This window comes from Homo sapiens, chromosome 11 (genome assembly GCF_000001405.40).
Source record: "Homo sapiens chromosome 11, GRCh38.p14 Primary Assembly".
Taxonomy (NCBI): Eukaryota; Metazoa; Chordata; class Mammalia; order Primates; family Hominidae; genus Homo; species Homo sapiens.
In genome coordinates, this window is record NC_000011.10 from 89965621 (window position 1) to 89981358 (window position 15738).

Consider the following 15738-nt stretch of genomic DNA (forward strand, 5'->3'; position numbering starts at 1 on the left):
AGTGGCGGGCGACTGTAATCCCAGCTACTTGGGAGGCTGAGGCAGGAGAATCGCTTGAACTCCAGAGGCAGAGGTTGCAGTGAGCTGAGACCGAGCCATTGCACTCCAGCCTTGGCGACAGAGCGAGATACCGTCTCAAAAAAAAAAAAAAAAAAAAAAAAAAGCATGTGATAATATGTAGTGAAATAATTGTTACACTTAAAATATTTCTTTGAATAAACAGTGTTAAGTCAACTTTCTTGCATCTCATTCCAAACTTGTCTGTTGAGCTTTGAGCCCTCAAGTCTGGTTTTCAATACTTTATAAACCTAATCAGCCAATTTACCCCTTTCTACGCAATCTAATCAACCTCAGGAAGTGGGTGTGGTCTTTCGTGGGCCCATACACTTTAAAAGGATGCTTGTCCAGAGATTTCTCTCTCCTTCAGTGAGGACCCACTGGATTTGTGGCTGCTGGGCTTTGAAGAGCCAGGAGTGACTTCTAATCTGGATATCTACAGAGTTTCTAGACTGAGACCATTCATAGTAGCCTTGTGAGTATACAGTGTGCAGCAAAACCATCATGCTCACTTTTACTCTTAAACATGCTTTAAATTTACCTGGCAGCATGCTTGGGTCTTTTCTAAGCAAACAAATGACTGTCTTAGTGATTTTACAGAAAATCAATATAAAGTATCTTCAATTTGTAAGATATGGTTTGTGTTCCCTTGCTATTTGACTATGTGACTGTTTTCTGTATTGTTAGATTTTTCTTAAGTGTGAAAAGATATATTTCCATAGTTTCATGCAATGATAGAACCCATAAAATACCTAAAATGTTCACCAGAATGTGGGCATGTAGTAGTGGTTATAACGTAAGCCAAAGCGAACGTTAAAAATGTTGAATTACTTTGAAAATTCTTGTTGCAAAGGTCTTATTTGCTGTCTCTTCAAAATTTGCAATTTGCAGACTAGATTTGAAAGCTGTTGAAAATAGATTTAATCGGCTGGGCATGATGGCTCATGTTTGCAGCCTAGCACTTTGAGAGGCCAAGGCAGGCAGATCGCTTGAGGTCTAGAGTTAGACACCAGCCTGGCCAACATGGTGAAACCTAGTCCCTACTGAAAATCCAAAAAAATCATCCTGGCGTGGTGGTGGGCACCTGTAATACCAGCTACTCAGGAGGCTGCGGCAGGAGAATTGTTTGAACCTGGGAGGTGGAGCTTGCAGTAAGCCGAGATCGTGCCACTGCACTCCAGCCTGCGTAACAGAGTGAGACTGCATCTCAACAACAGCAACAAAAAAAAAAAAAAAAAAAGAAAGAAAAAGAAAGAAAGAAAATAGATCAATAGATCTAACCAACTGGCAAGGGCTCCCAAGAAGCTGCAACTTCCAAGTCACTAAGCGAAAGGTGAATTGGCGGCCATGCTTCCATTAACTGCATTTCTGGATTTTCTAGTGTAGAGTGGAAAACCTAATACATATCTTCACTTTTTTTTTGTTATTTTAGAAGATAATTAGTTGTTGATTAATTCTTGTTAATTATAGTTGAAATATTGGCTATTTCAGAATGTGAAAGTGTTCTCTCTAATCATCAGAATTGACAATGGGAAAAAACTTTCCTAATTAAAAATAATAGATATTATTTACATTTAATGTATTGAAAGGAAGAGTTTTGATATTAAAGTTAAAAGGACAAATTTAATGGTTGATAATTTTAGGAGTTGACAGTCCACTGTGATTACTCAATCTTAGATAAAAGCTACTTTATTTATAATTGTCTGAGCAAACTTCATAGGTGAGTTTGGAGGCAGGGAGTATAGAATAATACCATAGATACTAAGTGTCTTTCATATATTATCATCATGGAATTATTGAGAGAGATAGAATGACAGAAACAGGATGACATTCAGAATGTGCTTCTTCGTTAATTAGCTTACATAAGTGACTCAGAAATCATCCCAGCTTTTACCCTCCACCCAGGCTTTAAGCTTGTCTAGGTAACTGGGAATGACTGAGAGCACGGCTTGTTTAACAAAAATGCCATGAGGACTGTTGTCTCATTTTCTCATTTGCATCACAGTTGTTCGTTGTTCATATTCATAAGTTTCATACCCGTGGATTCAACTAATCTCAGATAAAAAATATTTACAGGGTGAAAAAAGCAGCTGTACTGAATATGTACTTTTTTTTTTTTCTTGAGACAGAGTCTCACTCCATTACCCATGCTGGAGTGCAGTGGTGCGATCTCGGCTCACTGCAACCTCCGCCTCCTGGGTTCAAGCGATTCTCCTGCCTCAGCCTCCCGAATAGCTGGGACTACAGGCACGTGCCACCACGCCCTGCTAATTTTTTGTATTTTTAGTAGAAACGGGGTTTCACGGTGTTAGCCAGGATGGTCTCGATCTCCTGACCTCGTGACCTGCCCGCCTCGGCCTCCCGAAGTGCTGGGATTACAGGCATGAGTACCGCGCCCTGCCAAACATGTACATATTTTTAATCTTCTTGCTGTTCCTAAACAGTATGGCATTACAAGTATTTATACAGCATTTACATTGTATTAGGCATTCAAAGTAATCTAGACATAAAGTATTCAGGAGGATAGGTTTAGGTTACATACAAATTCACACCATTTACTAATAAGAGACTTGAACATCTTAGGATCTTGGTTCTCAGGGAGTCCTTGACCGAATCTTCGATGGCTATTGAGGGAAAACTTTATAAATCCAGCATGTATGAATTTACTATGTCTCAGTTTGTGCTGGAGCTAACTTATTAGACATGCTGGACAGAGCTCAAGTAGACAAGGAAAATTGTCCACCGGCCTTTCTTTCCTTTTCATCGGGGTAAATAAAAATAAGAGAAAGAAATTCTCACTTTTTTTTTTTTTTAATTTCCAGAAACATGGATTCAGACGACCTGCAAGTCTTCCAGAATGAGCTCATTTGCTGCATTTGCGTGAACTACTTCATAGATCCGGTCACCATTGACTGTGGGCACAGCTTTTGCAGGCCCTGCCTCTGCCTCTGCTCAGAAGAAGGCAGAGCACCAATGCGCTGCCCTTCGTGCAGAAAAATCTCAGAGAAGCCCAACTTCAACACCAATGTGGTACTCAAAAAGCTGTCTTCCCTAGCCAGACAGACCAGACCTCAGAACATCAACAGCTCAGACAATATCTGTGTGCTCCATGAGGAGACTAAGGAGCTCTTCTGTGAGGCTGACAAGAGATTGCTCTGTGGGCCCTGCTCTGAGTCACCAGAGCACATGGCTCACAGCCACAGCCCAATAGGATGGGCTGCTGAGGAATGCAGGGTACGTGATGCCTCTAAGGCAGTTTGAATTATACAGAATCCCAAATAAGAATGATGAGGGCCTGTGATAATGATGGTGATGAGAATGCAGATGGTGGAGGTGGTGATTATTCCATGTCAATCATAACACATAAATGTGTCCTTTCAATGTTGCTGGCTAATTTGGCACTCTAATCATAGCTGTGTTGAGACTTCGCTAAAGGAGGTTTCCTTAGAAACATTGTTCAAACGTGTAGAATGGAGCTGTGGAGCTGGTGGCCAGCACCAAGAACACTTTTCAAAGTCAGGTTATCTGAAAGCCAGTTTCTCAGAATATTGATGATATTATCTGAAGGGTCCCTTAAAACTCTCTATTATGTTTCTATCACTTTTCACATCCAAATTATTAGAACCAAATGTGTTTAACTTGGAAAAATCTGACCACTTCACTCCAACTTAATTTATGTTTCTTTCAATTACAGCCTTTTTTTTTAATTGATAAGGGTATGAAATCTACTATACTGTCTTCATTATTGCTAAGCTTCTTGCTTCTTTTGCAGGAGAAACTTATAAAGGAAATGGACTATTTATGGGAAATCAATCAAGAGACAAGAAACAATCTAAATCAGGAAACTAGAACATTTCATTCGTTAAAGGTAAGAATGAAAATGTTTTCTTTGTTTTTATGCAAATAAACACAATGTTAGCTTATACTTTTTAGCTAAATTCAAACTACCCGTTGCAAGATAGTGATTTCATCCCAAGAAAATGTAGTGATTTCAATTGATGTAATAGGAGTTGCAAACAGAGAAGCCCACACAAGCTAGCCAAATGAATTCTAGTATATTGGATAAACGGCATGATGTGTATTCTAGTTCAAATTTGAAGGTTGGTATAAACCTTTTCAGACACTGCAGATGAGACAACATTTCACTAAGTTTGGGTGTGAGGAAGACGAAAGAAATAGAATAGTATATAGAGTAAAAATATGGTAAAAGTAAAAAAAAACTGCATAATATGGTGTATGGCTAAATGTTTTTTAGCATGCAGGCAAAGCAGACATGGAAAAATCCTAAAAGAGAGATTAGTAGAGGAAACAATTGACTCAGTAACAACTGTGAAGAAGCATCACAGTGACAGAAACCAGGAGTCTTTATATAGGTTTGATTTAAAGAGGGAGAGAGAATAGGAACATTGAAAAAGATGGACAGAAGAAGATAGCAAATATTCAAGACTCCTTGCAAGAGTGAGGCAGAAAGTTTATAAGTTGCTTGATTACACCCAGCATATAATTATTTGAAGTTTTCTATTGAGAGTGAGAACATGTAATCCTTTTAACCAAACATCTCTGCAGGACTATGTGTCAGTAAGGAAGAGGATAATCACTATTCAATATCAAAAGATGCCTATATTTCTCGATGAGGAGGAGCAACGGCATCTGCAGGCACTGGAAAGAGAAGCAGAAGAGCTTTTCCAACAACTACAAGACAGTCAAGTGAGAATGACCCAACATTTAGAAAGGATGAAAGACATGTACAGAGAGCTGTGGGAGACATGCCACGTGCCTGACGTGGAGCTGCTCCAGGTGAGGAGGGAGGGTCCATCCTCAGAGACAGGAAGCCTTTGCTGGACAGTGCTGCCAGGACATGCAAATATCACCTGCGTATGTCACTGCTCTAAGCTAAGTGACACATGCTGTCTGACTTCCACCATTACACTTCTCCATTCACGTATTACTGCATACTTTGGTAATCTTTGGGAAATTTTTGCCATTTTAGCAGATAACATATAACAAAGTTCTCTTCAATATAATTTGGAGTACTATCCACACAGAGAGATCATCTAAAATCGTTAGAACTCTAGGCCAGGGGAAGGTTAGTAATACTCCATTTATATGCCCCAGTTCCTCCTCTCTCTGATGTCCCACACAGCAGTGATTTGCTGAAGACATTGAGGGGTTTCCCCTTGCCTGGGCAAGGTTTGTCAAAGCTGCTCATCAATGTCCATGTACTCTGTTTCTCATATGGTTCTCTGTTTTGTTTTAATCGTTGTCATGTGTGGTCAGACCTTTCCTTGGAAGTAAGATTAGGAAATTAATGACACTGGAAACCTAGATATCTTTGCTTTACTCCACTGTCTCTTGCTGAGCTCCTTTCTTCTTAATGCCCACTGATGAAGCTTTTTATTGTTTAGTTGAGGTTCTATTATTAATGTAGTCTTGAATGATTCCTTAGCAGGAAATAAAAAGATATACATTATTAAAACAGAAAGAAACAAGAGTATGAGAAAAGATGCAGAAGGAAAAATCTCTCATAATTAACATTATCTTTCATTTTTTTGCAGGATGTGAGAAATGTATCAGCAAGGTGATTTTACACTAAAAAAATGCTATTTCTGAAAAGTTTGTTCTCTTGCGAATGAAGGGGATGTATCATTTTGAGTACTAACATCGTTGTCGGTGGCTATTTCCAATTTTGTTTCAAAAGAGGGCCTGAGGTCTTCTTCTCTTTGGTCTGGAAAGTTTTCATCTTAAAATTTGTATGAATTAAAATATACATAAAAACAATTTGCCATTCGGAAGTTTGTTCTTCCCAGTCCATCCGTCCTGACCAACCATACCCCACAGATCTTAATACAAAATTACTCTGAGGAATCATAGAGGCATCTTCTACTCTAGAGGGGTGGGAGGTTAAAAAAAAAAAAAAAGACAGAGGGAGGAGAGAGATTCCCTAAGGAAGGGCTGAGGAGGGATGTTTTGCTCCTAAAAGCATCAATGACCCGGGCCTGCTCCATCACCATACACCCAGTTCTAGGAAAGACCTCAGGGAAATGGTTGCCTCGGGCCCCTCAGCAGCAAGGTTCTCAGGCTGGAATTAGACTCCTTTGTTTTGCACAAAAGATTAAAGCCTTTTGTCTCAGTGAACATTCTCTGTTAGACACTGACTAGCATTAGTGATAACTGCAGGCTGAGGTCGCAAAGGTTTTTGTCTGAGTTTTCTGCTCTCTGAAATATTTCCAGGATTTCTGCATACCCTCAAGGGGTGTGATGGGCAGAGGGAGGCAATGACTTTTAATGACTTTAGAAGTTGTATAATGTCTGAGAATAACGTATCTGGGGAAATTGGAAGCAAAGTTTAGAAAAAGTAACATCCTTATTGCCCCTAGAGTGTGGAATAAAATGTACACCCAGTTAACCAAAACTGGCAGAATTCTGAGGAAACATCTTATATGAAAATGTGATATCTTTGTATGACTGTGTGATTAGCTCTGGGCCTGGAAATATAACTGAGGCCATTTTTTTTTGCAGGACTGATTTGGCACAGATGCAAAAGCCCCAGCCAGTGAACCCAGAGCTCACTTCATGGTGCATAACTGGAGTCCTAGACATGCTCAACAACTTCAGAGGTAAGAGCCAGCTGCTTGGCATTCCAGCCTCAAATTATTTCCTTATTGGGTCCCTTGGTTGAGGATTTTCCCATTTAAGTTTTATTAGTTTTGACATGTAGGTAATACATAGTTTTCCGAAACATGTGCATCTTCCCTACCTGCATAGTAATATTACAATGATCAAAACTCAATTTCCTGACTTACAGTTTGACGAAAATGTAAAGCAAGATACATACTTTATCTGCAGAATAAGAGGACAAAATATTCAGATCATGTAGTTATGAAGACTCTAGTTCTCATGGCGGCATCAGTATTTCATGTTTATTCAATTTAATTCAATTTTGAAGGCTTAGATTTGGCATAATGGTTTTTAATTGTTTCTATTCTATGTGCATTTACATGCATTCTACAAGTAACCTTTATTATTTACAAAATCAGAACATTTTGATCAACAAAGAAAATGACTAAAATATCCATAATCAGGACAATTCTAATGCCATCAGATACATCTAGTAACAAGTGAAAGGTGAGGGATCTGTGAACACGGCTTAACCATGTTAGGCCCATTCTAGAGAGCAGGTCTGGGTAGCAGAGGGCAGGAACCCAGAGTAGATTGAATCAGGAGCTAAACAGATAATGTAAAGCCAGAATATTCTTTTCAGAAACTTATAAATTTTACATGTGTTAATTTCTACCAAATTTTTGATGTTTGAGACTATAACAGGCATAACTTACATTCCAATAAATACTCACATCACAGCAAATTGATGTCTACCTGTTGATGATCTTAAAAACAAATAATACAAGGAGAGTTTTCTATTGAAGAAAAAAAAAACATTTTGCATATGCCCTGAAACCAACTATGCAGATGTAGACATTAAATCATTATTTCCCCTGTGGTATGGTCACGTTTTTTCTCTATTACTTAAGGAATAATACATAATTGTATGTGCTGTAGAGGTGTAATAACATTTCATCTTCATGAATGCATGGGGCTGACCCCTCTTGGCTTCCTTTTTTCTGTATTTTCTTGGAAGAAGAGCAAATGAAGTGAATAATTGGGCCACAGAGCCTCTGTCCCTCATAACACTCACTAATATAATATTTTTTTCTTGTCAGTGGATAGTGCTCTGAGCACGGAAATGATTCCTTGCTATATAAGCCTTTCTGAGGATGTGAGATATGTGATATTTGGAGATGACCATCTCAGTGCTCCCACGGATCCCCAGGGAGTGGACAGCTTTGCTGTGTGGGGAGCGCAAGCATTCACCTCCGGCAAGCATTACTGGGAGGTGGATGTGACCCTCTCCTCCAACTGGATTCTGGGAGTCTGTCAAGATTCCAGGACTGCAGATGCCAATTTCGTTATTGATTCTGATGAAAGATTTTTTTTAATTTCCTCAAAGAGGAGCAATCACTATAGTCTCTCCACCAACTCTCCACCTTTAATTCAGTATGTGCAAAGGCCTCTGGGTCAAGTTGGGGTGTTTCTGGATTATGATAATGGATCTGTGAGTTTTTTTGATGTTTCTAAAGGTTCTCTTATCTATGGTTTTCCTCCTTCCTCCTTCTCTTCCCCTCTGAGGCCTTTCTTTTGCTTTGGTTGTACATGAAAAGTTGGTTTCACGATGATTTATTGTGACCTCCCACATATGAGGCAAATACTGTCCTAAGACACTATGTGCGAGAGCCTGTGAGCTCATTGTAACTTCATGGAATGTAATTACTATGTGGTTATGAATGGGATAACCACCTTGAATGTGTACTTTTGTTAATTAAATTATTTTAATTAATAAGTTATTGTGGAATCTTTACTAGAACATCAATAATGGTTTTTTCGTACTAGTTTTGTTGAGATTCATTCATTTACTGTAAAAGTCATGTTCTAATGTATTTAATTCAGATATTGTTAGTATATCACACTTGAGCAGCCATCAGAGCTCTCTACTACCTGTGAACTTTTATCACTTCCAGAAGAATCCCAATACACATTAACATTAATTCTCCTTTTACCCTCCCCCATTCCTTGACAGCACTTAATCTACTTTTTATGTTTTTGCATTCAGGTAAATAAAATCATACAATGTAAGTTCTTTTTTTAATCTGATTTCTTTTTCAGAGAGTATGTTTTCAGTTTGTACACACTGTAAACCATTTGTCTTAGTCGTATATTTCAACCAGGCTGGGGTAGAATAATGAAGTGGTGGATATCTCATCTTACAAAGAATAAAAGGAGTGCTTTTTTTCTTTTTAAGTCTGAGCAAGTTAGGTTGACCTCACAGACTTTATTATGTCTCAACAACCTAGTTATTAATCACATTTCAGCTCATACAACAGTTTTTCAGTGCTGGGTTGCTCTGCTGTTACATCTTCTCTGAATATATTATATCAGGTTATAATATTAAGAAAACTCTTATACTTATTACTACCAGATTGAAAAGTCCAAGGGGGCAATGGCAGTATTTGTCTTCTTTGCTAATATATTACAATTATTCAATGCAATTTTTAGAATAGATTACACAGTAAATAAGATGAGTAAATGGATAAGTAGAGGAGTTAACATGTATAAATACTATTCTAACATTAAGAAACTTTTCCAAAATATAAGTAACAAAATAGGACAGAACATACTAATGAATATCTATCAAAAGATAAGAAATAAATTGATTTTCAGATTCATATCAAAGATAACACTATTATGTTGGGGTTTAAAATAATTGTAGCATAATTTTTACAGGGTTGATTTCAATTGTCTTAGGTTTTTTCATATAAACTATGGAAAGAGGAAGGTTCCTATATAAGATGATGGGGAACAGGAACAGGACTTAGAATAATGGAGGCTGTCCTTATTTAAACTGACATATAATTACTTGCTAAGCATAAAGTGGTATAAACCTTCTTATGCAGTAGAAAGAACAAACTTTGGTTACATTTCAAATAAGAATCCAGATGATAGAGAATGGAAAATTCTATAATAGAATGTAATAGCTACATCTCCTAGCGCACCGGCTTATGTGCTCTAACAAAGACCACGAATTTGAAATGATTCAGAAGGTGCATTTCTCTCACATGTTTGTACCAACATAGGAGTTGGTCAAGAAGAAGACTGACATCTTCAGCAAGTGAATTTTATCTCTGTGTGCAGGAAACTCCCATTTATTGCCATGTCCCATGCAGCAGGAAAGCCGGAAGAAAAGTAGGAGGGACAAGAGTATTTGGCTTTAAGGAAAGCACCTGGTGTTCCTCACAATGCTTTTGTTCCCGTCCTATAGCTACAAAATTAGGCAGATGGGACACCAAGTTGTAATGTATCTGGGAATGCTGTTTACACTCTAAACCATATTTATTCTTATCATTTGATTCAGAAAACAAATTAAATGACTGGCACAACTGAAAATAACCCAAGAGATTTGTTCAATGAAACAAAGCTGAACCTCAACCAAATAGATAAGCTGCTGCCTAAGGTTAGCACCAGTTCTTAGTTATTCAAGAGTGAGTAAACCCTGCTTTTTACCACTGTCGGGGTGTCCAGTGTTGTCCTTTTTAGAGCCTGGCTAGCTGAGGGTTATGTGGCAAGAAACATCTTATTTGTATTTTAGTCCCTTAAATGAATGATTTGGATAGGAATGATTCTCCAAATTTTGAAAATACTTATCAGAAATATTCTCTTATTCCTTCACTCTATACCATGTAGACTATAATAAACTGTCTCTCTTCTGCCTCCACATATTTCATGCAGAACATTAGGGGTTAGCAGAGAGAAAGCTTATCCCCAGCTTCTTTTGGACTCGCTGCTTTTTTCCAAGTGATCTGAGATGATAAAATTACTCACCTTAGGGCTCCAACCCAGCACTCCTTTTTGATTTTCACCTATGTTTTGTGAGCTTTTCTGTTGATGCTAAAACTCTATGCAACAGTCAAAGCCTCATAATTTAATTACATTATTTGTTGCTAGATTTCAAGGAAAAATTATTCCTGACATTCTTCTAATTTAGCTCAGATTCACTTTGGCGGAAAGACAGAATTAGCTACTTTACGATCACTTAGTATTTGACTCTGATTTTGGAAGATGAAACAGTTTTTGTGTCTATTTACCATATTTTCTTAGCCATTTAACCAAGATAATCTTATTGTATTGATTCTCCTAGAGATACTTACTTTATTTATTCTCTTCACCTGTCAGAATTTATGTTAGAATACCACCAAGAATTACTTACAATTGAAATAAATCAAAGAGAGACCACTAAGAACATCGTCAATCATTAATACATAAATCTTGAACTTCCTGAGATTTTTATCCCTAAAGGAAGTTATTTATCAATAGCCTGGTTACAGTTTTTTTAATACAAGAATTTTCACTCTTCTATAATACAAAAAGTAAAAATTGATAAAGAGGATAACTTGGAAAAAAATTAATCTTACAAAACGGAGACACATTCTTGACTAGCACTTTATTTCTGTACTAAATTTAGGAGACATGTAAATGGTAGGTTTCCTAAGTGAAATAAGACAGACACACAGAGAAAAATACTTCATGGTCCCACTCATATTTGAAATCTATTTTTATAAGTTTAATACATTAAAAAAGGTGGTTACATTGGTGGGAAGAAAATAGGTAAATGAAGGGCAAAAGTTGTAAAGGTGCAGTAATGTAGAATAAATGAATCTGATGTACAACCTGTAGGTATAATAGATAATCTTGTATTGTTTTTGGGAAATATTCTGAGGGACTAGATTTTTGATGTTCTTATCATAAAAAAGAAGCAGAGCTAAGTGATATGATCGATTTGTTAATTTTCTTCATTATAGTAATCATTTCCTTATGCACATGTATCTCAAAACAACATATTGTGCACCTTGAAAATATAAAATAAAACAAATTAAAAAATAAAGGTAATTTTGTTCCTGCATGTAAGCTGAAAATAAGTGAAGACTGGGTCAGTAATAACATTGCTTTGCTGGATTAAGAGAATTCTAATAACATATTTTTAATTGGGAAGGTATCTGTATTAAATAAAATTGATCTAAAGCTGGTTACAGTGGCCATACTTATAATCCCAGTGCTTTGGCAAGCCAAGGCAGAAAAATACTGGAGGCCAGGAGTTTGAGATCAGCCTGGGCAATATAGTAAGACCTTATCTCTACCAAAAAATAAACAGAAAATTAGCCTTGAGTGGTGGTGTGCACCTGTTGTCCCAGCTTCTCAGGGGCTGAGTTGGGAGGATTGCTTGAGTCCAGGACTATAAAACTGCAGTGAGTTCTGATTGTGCCATTGCACTCCAGCACGGGTGACAGAGTGAGAACTTGTCTCAAAAACAGCAACTAATTATTTTTTGTAGCCATTTTACCTGAAAGCTATAATTCTTTCTTCTACAATTAATGAATCTGCATATGTCTAGGCCAGCTAGATCAGGTAGAGCTTGTCCTCTAGTGCTTATATCTATAAAACAAGTAAGACAATTATAAGGAGGCTCTAAGCAAAACAATTTTTTCTCATTCTGGACTTTGAGGTCTTAATTCTTTAGACTAATTTTCTGTCTCAATAGTGGATATCACCCTGAAACTTAATTTGTCCAAGCACCTCACATAACCTGAGATTTTACAAAACATACAGTTCATAGGATCAGTACGTTCTTATGCCTTAAAAGTCTCCAGGCATTCAAGGATACCACTATGTGGAAACTCAGGCCTTCTACTGCATTATTGAAGGAGCACATTTGAGACTCACAGCTCTGGTTCCAGGAGTCTGTTAACAGGTCTGGACAATGAGTAATGTCAGTCCAGATAATTCTGAGGAAGGCTTTCTGCCTTGTTATGAGGAGGATAATCAGTGGAGACTCTAGACAAGTTCCCAGTCATCATTCCAGCATTTAGTTGCTGTTTTTGTAATCCCAGCATTTTGGGAGGCCGAGGCAGGTGGCTCACTTGAGGTCAAGAGTTCAAGACTGGCCTGTTCAACATGGTAAAACTTTGTCTTTACTTAAAATACACAATTAGCAGGGGGCGGGGGGTGGGGAATATGCATTAGAAGGGAAGGAGAACATACTTAACATGCCATTGGAAGGTGAAATTCCTAATACTTGAGAATATTTTTGAGAACTATGTTTAATTCTCACTATAGAAAGATGTACCCTTTGAATGACATTAAAAATTCGCTAGAAGAGTGAAGAATAATAGTTAAAATGTCACATAAGTAACAAGAGTCTCAAAACATAAAGTGTTCTAAAAGGTTAAAGTACGTATTTGAGATAGAGAGAATAAATAATAGTTAATTACTTAGACTTTATTATGTGAAAAGACTTTCCTAAAATTCTTCCCTAATAATTGAAGATATAAATTACAATAATTAAAATACACAAAAAATAAAAGTATTAAAATAGTGACAAATTTTTAAAAGGGTAAACTTGAAAATTATTTAATTTTTAATCTCAAAAATCTGAAAGTGATTTTATCAATGTCCTAAAAAATTGAAATAAAAACAAACTTAATAATGTAAAAGAAGGGAGGTTTCCACCGGGCTGGGGGCGGGAGCTAGGGCTTCCCTGGGGACGCAGAAGCAAGAAGCAGGGACCTTGGCGCGCACCAGGCTTTCCGGGACAGAGCCTCGGCCTCCCGCCCACGCCTCCGGCCGCCGGCGTGGTGCTGCTGGCTGGGACCCAGCCGCAGGGTGGCGGGGCGCGCTGCATGACCCCGCCACCGCCGTCCCCACTCCTAGGCACACAGGTCGAGGAGGACCGCGCTGACTACAAAGAGTTCCAGGACTTCTCCAGTCTGCCCGACACCCGCAGCATCGCCTGGGACGACTCTTTGTACCCTTTCCAGGAGGAGGAGGAGCACGGCGTCGAGGGCGTGGAGAGCGTCCTGGAGGAGGGCGTCCTGGAGGAGGGCGTCCTGGAGGCGTGGGGCTGCTGCAGACGTTGGTGCGGCGGGGGGTGAGCGTTGAGAAGGCTCAGGAGACTGACCACAATGGCCAGAGCGGCCTTAATGTCGCCTGCTACCACGGCTTTGTGGATATACCGTGGTGGCCTTAGCTGAGTGCCCCCACATTGAAGTCAACTGGCAGGACAGGGAGGGGAACGCAACCCTAATCATAGCTGCACAGGCAGGAGCTGCCCCTGGCCCCATGGGCACAGTTGCCTTAGACGCTGGCTCTCAGCCTTGCGCTTCCTGCGTCAGCATCACCTGGGCTGGTTCATTTGAGCTTTAACACAGATCTGGTGGAAACACAGGCTGCCAAGCCCTGCCCTGGAGTCTTTCTTTGAATAGGCCTGGGGTGGGGCCCAAGAATGAGCAGAAGAACAGGTTTCCTGGTGAGGCTGATGCCGCTGGCCCAGGGATCCCACGTTGAGGAAGGAGGGCTTTGAGGTTTTCATGCCTGATGATGGCCAGGAACCCTTCTCAGTAGGCATTGAAGACCAGCAGAGTCCCAGACCCCAGGAGAGATGTCGTCAGACGGACACAGAGGCATCACGGAATTAAAGTGAAAATGAAGAAAGGAGCTGAGCATCTGTTTCATGACTTTCCTGCGCTGTTTTACTAAAGAGGCTGTTCTGGCCCAGTCAGGGCACGCTATCATCACCAACTACTTGCTGAACTATGTCCTGGGTCTTGACCTTGAAGGATGGACGCGTTCGGGTTGAAAGCCGCCATGCAGGGTCGAACCGATCGCATCCGAGCCCTGAGCTAGCAGGGGCGGGTGTCCACGCGAGGGCCCCCGCCGTGGGAGGTCGCCAAAGGAGTGGCCACTTACACGTCCGTCTCATGCAGAGGCTCCTGGAGCGCCCCTGCCAGGAGCGACTGGGGAAAAAGTACCAGCTTGAGCTGCCTCCGCTCCACGAGAGGGTGCGGAAGCCCGAGGGCTCGAAGAACTGCCTGCAGAGGGTCAGGGACTGCGAGCTGTCCACGCTGACGCCGCGCTCCGTGCGTGGCCCGGAGGACCGGGGCGCCCTGGACCACATGGTCAGGATGACCACCAGCCTCTAACAGCCCCGCCGTGGCCCTCGCGTGCCAGACCGTGTGCCCCCAGAGCTCCCTGTGCGTGGGGAAGAGGCGGCTGGCGGTGCAGGAAATCCTGGCGGCTCAGGAAATTCTGGCGGCGCGGCTGGGGGTGAGGAGGCAGGCGCAGGAGGCGGGCGAAGCGGAGAGCGCAGAGCAGCACAAGCCGCCCTGCCCAGAGGCCGCGGGCTCCCGGGAGGGCTCCCTAAGAGCCGGCCTCCCACCTGCCCCGCTGCCAGGGTCCTGGGGCTCTGGCGACCCCGCCCCGCGGAAGGCCAGCCTCCTGCCCCTGCAGCGCCTGCAGCGGAGCAGCTTGCGGCCCGGCGTGGTGGTGCCCCGGGTCCGCCTCAGCAAGGCGCCCGTGCCCACCTTCCAGCCCCAGAGGCCGGCTGTTCAAATATTTTCCCAAGTTTATATTGGGTTCATTTTCTTTTGTTTATTACATTCATTAATCACATGTATTGTATTTTATTGCATATATGTTGGGATAAATATGTTTCTCCACTCTTGGTTTGCATTTTAATTCTTGGATGGTGTATTTTGAAACACAGAAGTCATCATTTTTGATACAAACTAACTAAATTTTTCTTCTTAATTGTTACTTTTTTGTCCTGGTTAGGAAATCTTTCTGTGTGAAAATATTTTATTGTGTTCCCTTCACCTTCAGAACATGAATCCATGTGGAAATGCACTGTGTATGGTTTGAGGTAGGGGTCAGTATTCAGTTATGTCTATTTGAATATTTAATTGATCCAGCATTGTCCTGATCCCCTTGTAAATTTCACTGTAGAACAGCACTCTAATAATGCATGAGCATTTTGTATGTAAGATGAGATTTACAAAGATAAGCACAGCATAGGAGGTCAAATAAGATTACCTCAAAGTATAGGTTCATAAATAAAACACATGGATAAGTATAATATTGTTAGATGAAGAGAAAGAAAATATTTCCAGGTTACCATTGAGTCTTTTTACTCCAAGTTTTTTCATGAAGCCCAAGATCTCTACTTTCTTCCATTGATTTTAACTTCATTTAGACAACTCTGTCATCTATTATTTCACTTTGTGACATTCAGAAATAATTAAA

At 40.2% G+C, this 15738-nt stretch overlaps 1 protein-coding gene and 1 pseudogene across 1 annotated transcript; both read left to right on the forward strand.

Annotated features, from left to right (window-relative positions):
- Positions 1 to 416: 416 nt before the first annotated feature.
- On the forward strand, positions 417 to 8452 carry TRIM64 (tripartite motif containing 64). Its single transcript, NM_001136486.2, has 7 exons — positions 417 to 532; positions 2880 to 3291; positions 3830 to 3925; positions 4624 to 4854; positions 5613 to 5635; positions 6577 to 6674; positions 7776 to 8452. The coding sequence occupies exons 2-7, from the start codon at positions 2884 to 2886 to the stop codon at positions 8267 to 8269; spliced, it is 1350 nt and encodes a 449-aa protein (NP_001129958.1). The 5' UTR covers positions 417 to 532; positions 2880 to 2883; the 3' UTR covers positions 8270 to 8452.
- Positions 13162 to 15041, forward strand: ANKRD33BP9 (ANKRD33B pseudogene 9; annotated as a pseudogene).

Coding starts and splice junctions, on each gene's coding strand:
- TRIM64 (NM_001136486.2), top strand. CDS start 2,884: ATGGATTCAGACGACCTGCAAGTCTTCCAGAATGAGCTCATTTGCTGC. Junction 4,855..5,612: donor CTGACGTGGAGCTGCTCCAG/GTGAGGAGGGAG, acceptor ATTTTTTTGCAG/GATGTGAGAAATGTATCAGC. Junction 6,675..7,775: donor CATGCTCAACAACTTCAGAG/GTAAGAGCCAGC, acceptor TTTTCTTGTCAG/TGGATAGTGCTCTGAGCACG.